Source organism: Homo sapiens, chromosome 17 (genome assembly GCF_000001405.40).
Source record: "Homo sapiens chromosome 17, GRCh38.p14 Primary Assembly".
NCBI classification, from domain to species: Eukaryota; Metazoa; Chordata; class Mammalia; order Primates; family Hominidae; genus Homo; species Homo sapiens.
In genome coordinates, this window is record NC_000017.11 from 21,439,515 (window position 1) to 21,444,830 (window position 5,316).

A 5,316-nucleotide genomic window follows, 5' to 3' on the forward strand; every position below is an offset into this window, starting at 1 on the left:
GGTGCAGGTTCTCTGGAAGCAACCCTTCCAAGGCACGAGTGCGGCCATCCAAGTCTGAAACCAGCCCAGACACCACTGAAAACCATCATGCGTCCCAGGTGGAGACCACATAGAGCAGAAGAATCTTACAGGAAAGACTTGGGATTCCTAGAAGTATTCTTGGTATGATGGTCATACAAGACCATAGAAAGACACACAGGTATTATAATGGTTGAGTTTGTTCCATGGAAACAGTGGGACTAATTATAAATCTCATTAAAGGATATGAGCGAAGACTGAGGACCAAACTCCTGTTTAGGTTAAGTGTGTGTACATAGATCTTCTATTTACTTAGAACTCTTCAGGAAATTTGCATGAGAAATGGCCAATGACTATCTCTTGGAATGAGAGCCAGAGGTGATGAATGGCATTTTATTTTGATTTTACACACTCTTCACTGTATGATCATTTTATACTAAATATGCATAATAAAGATAAAATCTTCTGATAATTAGTCACATAAATATGAGATTCACAATATGAGAGACAAATACAACTAAAAACAAAACAGACCCAGGCAATTGCATCATATGTGATCCAATCCTATCACTTTAAAATTATCCAAAGGAATTATGCACATTTGCTAAGATTTTAAATAATGTGATTCTTCTCAGTTCTCTGTAAGTGTGACAAATTGGAAGTATAACATTGATCTCACACTGAATCTTGTATAAAAACAATGAACTCTAATGCAATGATTTTTATATTAAATTTACTTACATAATTAAACATATCAAGGAATTAAAGGGAGGAGTATTGTCATCTGGAATCAGAAGAGCTCACAGCCATCTCCACTGTTGATTGAAGATTTGAGTGAGGGGTCTTAGAGACTGAGTCAGTGGGCTGGGGTCTAGGCTTCACTCCTTTTTGGATCAGGTAACTTTAACTTTGTGTCTGTTTCATTGTTTATTTAGCACTGCTGGTACAAACACAGAAGAGCAATTGATCCTCACTGGTGTTCTTCAGGGACAGCTGGTGGTAGGTGAGGGTGAGCTGGGAGGAAGGTGGCATTTTGGGAGGGAAAGAGTGTCCACTCCCCAAGCAGTTTGATTTTCTGGGGCTGTCCCTTTGACACCAAAGATGAGCCCTTACTGTTCTTTTCTATTTCTCTAAGCTCCTTCTGAGAATCACAGGTTAAGAATTTTTTTTGTACTAGTACTAATTATAATAAACTTTTGATTTTACTGCCAATTTAAAAAATTATATTTCATTTTTCTCCATTCACAGTAGCAAATCTGTGAACAGATGCTTTGCCTGTATTAATATGCTCTTGTTCTATGTATTCTGCTTTCATGAATCTAGTTATGCAGTATTTAATTTTTGCCCTTTATTGATTACAAATACCATTTCAAGGAAAGCACATTTTTTTGAGTCTTGAAGGAGAAAAGGGCTTTCCACAGGTAAGGCAGGTGGGAGTGAGATCAAGTTAGGATGTTGACCAAGAATGGTTTACACAGCAAAGCAGTGCTTACAACTACAAAGGTGCTTGCAGGCATCTGTCTGGAGGTCTCCTCAATAGCAAAGCTCCTATCCTGCCCTTTATATTAATGCGTTTAGAGCCTCACTCCATTTCCCTGGCGGCTTGGACTTTCTCAATTTTTTCACTTCTGGCCACCTTGTGCAGATGTTTCCAGAATGGGGAATCTTTAATCCTATTTCTGCCCAAGTTCATTCCTGGGTAGTTCTATTATAGTTTGGATATTTGTTTCCTCCAAATCGTATGTTGAAATTTACCCTCAGTGTTGGAGGTGGGGCCTAACGGGGGCAGATCCTTCGTGAATGGATTTAATGCCCTCCCTCAGGGGTGAATGAGCTCTTGAGCTCTATTAATCTCAGGGAGAGCTGGTTGTTAAAAAGAGCCTGAACATCCCCTGTCTCTCTTGCCTCCTGTCTCAGCATGTAAACACTGCACAGGCCAGCTTCCCTTCCCCTTCCACCACAAGAAGAAGCCACTTGAGGTCTCACCAGAAGCAGAGCAGATGCCAGCATCATGCTTTCAGTGCAGCCTGCAGACCGTGAGCCAAACAGACCTCTTTTCTTTATAAATTACCCACTCTCAGGTGTTCCTTTATAGCTACACGAAACAGACCAAGACAAGCTCCCTTCCTCCATTTGTCACAACCGTTGAGACACTTGTTTTCCTGGTTTTGTTTGTCTTAGTTGTTTTTGACTTTGCCTGGTCTTCTTCCTCAGTTGTTATCTATATTTAGGAGCATGTATTTCACAGGGATAAAATATTCACTAACGAATACTTCTATTTTATTTTCACCCACATTTTAAAAAGATACAATTCTCGCTTTTGTGGTAGCAAATGTAAGAGATTTTCATTACTAAATGGCATTTTATACATTTTTCTTATAGGAATTGATTGATGTACATATTTCTAACTTCCTATATGGATCGCTTCCTCACATTTTCTTACCTTAAAGAATGACTTTTGTAGTTCTTGACAGATGAAAGGGCTTTTCTCAGAGACTGTAGCAGGAAGACAGAGCAGGTGTGGGGGTTCCTTAGAAGGGGAGGGCTGGGGGGGCAAGTTGCATGACACACCTCCTCAGCTGGCTCCTGGGAATGAAGACAAGGGGCTGTTTAACTACAGACACACTCAGCACCATGAGAAAGCTAAAACAAACAAACAAAAATCTATAGGCATATCTTGGAGATATTGCAGGTTTGGTTCCAGGCCACCACAATTAAGAGAGTCACACAAATTTTTTGGTCTCCCAGTGCATATAACATTATGTTTACATTATATGGTAGTCTATGAAGTGTGCAATAGCATATGTCTAAAACAGTGTACACACCTTAGTTAAAAATACTTCAGTGCTAAAAAATGCTAACAACCCTCTGAGCCATTAGCAAGTTGTAATCTTTTGGCTGCAGAGCCTTGCCTCAGTGTTGATGGCTACTTACTGATCAGGGTAGTGTGGTTCTGAAGGTTGGGGTGGCTGTGGCAATTTCTTTTTTCTTTTCTTTTTTTTTTTTTTAGAGACAGGGTCTGGCTCTGTCACCCCAGCTGGAGTGCAGTGGTGCGATGACAGCTCACTGCAGCCTCAAACTCCCAGGCTCAAGCGATCCTCCTGCCTTAGCCTTCCGAGTAGCTGGGACAACAGGTACATGCCATCAGGCCTGGCTAATTTTTAAAATTTTTTTTTTTTTTTTTTTTTTTTTTTTGTAGAGATGTGGTCCTTCTATGTTGCCCAAGCTGGTCTTGAACTCCTGGCCTCAAATGATCCTCCCATTACCTGAAGTGCTGGGATTACAGGTGTAGCCACTGTGCCCAGCCTGTGGCAATTTCTTAAAATAAGACAATGATGAAATTTGCCACATTGATCGACCCTTCCTTTCACTAAAGATTTCTCTGTAGCATGCGATGCTGTTTGATAGCATTTGACCCAAAGAAGAACTTCTTTCAAAATTTGAGTCAATCCTCTTAAATCCTGCTGCTGCTTTATCAACAAAGTTTATGTAATATTCCAAATCCTTTGTTGTCATTTCAAAATGTTCACAGCATCTTCAGCAGAAGCAGATTCTATCACAAGAAACCACTGCCTTTGCTCATCCATCAGAAGCAACTCTTCATCAGTTAATCATGAGATTGCAGCAATTCAGTCTTATCTTCAGGCTCTGCTTTTAATTCTAAGTTCTCTTGCAATTTCCACTACATCAGAAGTAACCTCCACTGAAGTCTTGAACCCTTCAAAGTCATCCATGCGGGATGGAATCCACTTCTTCCAAACTCCTGTTAATGTTGACATTTTGACCTTCTTCCATGAATCATGAATGTTTTTAACAAAATCTAGAACAGAGACTCCTTTCCAGTAGGTTTTCAATTTACTTTGCCTGGATCCATTAGAGGAATCACTATCTATAGCAGCTATAGCCTTATGAAATATATTTCTTAAATGATAAGGCCTGAAAATCTAAAACTACCCCTTGATCCACGGGCTGCAGAATGGATGTGTGTTAGCAGGCATGAAAACAACATTAATCTCCTTCTATATCTCCATCAGAGCTTCTGAGTGACTACGTGCATTGTCAATAAGCAGCAATATTTTGAAAAGAATCTTTTTTTTCTGAGCAATAGGTCTCAATCACAGGCTTAAAGTGTTCAGTAAACCATACTGTAAACAGATGAGCTGTCATCCAGGCCCTGTCGCATTCATAAAGCACAGGCAGAGTTAATTTAGCTTAATTCTTAAGGGCCCTAGGATTTTCACAATGGTAAATGAGCACTGGCTTCAACATAAAGTCACCAGCTGCATTAGCCCCTAACAAGAGAGTCAGCTTGTCCTTTGAAACTTGGAAGCCAGGCATTGACTTGTCCTTTCTAGCTATGAAAGTCCTAGGTAGCATCTTGTTTCAATAGAAGACTGTTTCATCTAAATTGAAAATGTGTTGTTCAGTGTAGCCACCTTTATCAATGATGTTATCTAGATCTTCTGGAGAACTTGCTGCAACTTCTACATTGGCACTTGCTGCTTTACCTGGCACTTTTATGTTATGGAGACAGCTTCTTTCTTTCAGTCTCATGAACAACCTCTGTTAGACTTCAACTTCTCTTCTGCAGCTTCCTCATCTCTCAGGGTTCATGGAATTGAAGAGAGTTAGGGTCTTGCTCTGGATGAGGCTTTGACCCACAGCTGGTTCCACACCCCTAAAACTTTCTCCAGCTCAGCAATAAGGTTGCTTTGCTTTCTTATCATTCTTGTGTTCACTGAGTAGCACTTCTCATTTCTTTCAAAAACTTTTTTTTTTGCATTCACAACTTGGCTAAATGTTTAGCACAAGAGGTCAAACTTTTGGCCTATCTTGGCTTCCAACATGCCTTCCTCACTAAGCTTAATCATTCCTAGCTTTTGATTTAAAGTGAGAGCTGTGTGACTCTTCCTTTCCCCTGATCGCTTAGAGGCCATTGTAGGGTTATTAACTGGCCTAATTTCAATATTGCTGCATCTCAGGGAATAGGGAGGCCTGAGGAGAGGGAGAGAGATGGGGAATGGCGATTGATGGAGCAGTCAACACACAACATTTATTGATTAAATTTGCCATCTTATATGGACTTGGTTCATGCCTCAATTACAATAGGAACATGAAAGATCACTGATCACAGATCACCATAACAGAAATAACAATAATGAAAAAGTTTTAAATATTGTGAAAATTACCAGAGTGTGACACAGAGGCAGGAAGTGAGCACATGCTGTTGGAAAAACAACGACAGATTTGCTTGATGCATGATTACCACAAACCTTCAATTTGTAGAAAGCACAATAT

The 5,316-nt window shown here is 40.0% G+C and overlaps 1 long non-coding RNA gene across 2 annotated transcripts; it reads right to left on the reverse strand.

Annotated features, from left to right (window-relative positions):
• Nucleotides 1-395: 395 nt before the first annotated feature.
• On the reverse strand, nt 396-2,674 carry LOC124903950 (uncharacterized). Of its 2 annotated transcripts, none has more exons than XR_007065662.1 (2): nt 2,462-2,674; nt 396-955 (listed from the first exon to the last, which is right to left on the reverse strand). It is a non-coding gene; the product is annotated as an uncharacterized LOC124903950 (long non-coding RNA). The 2 variants fall into 2 exon arrangements; XR_007065663.1 differs by having other exon boundaries at nt 396-958.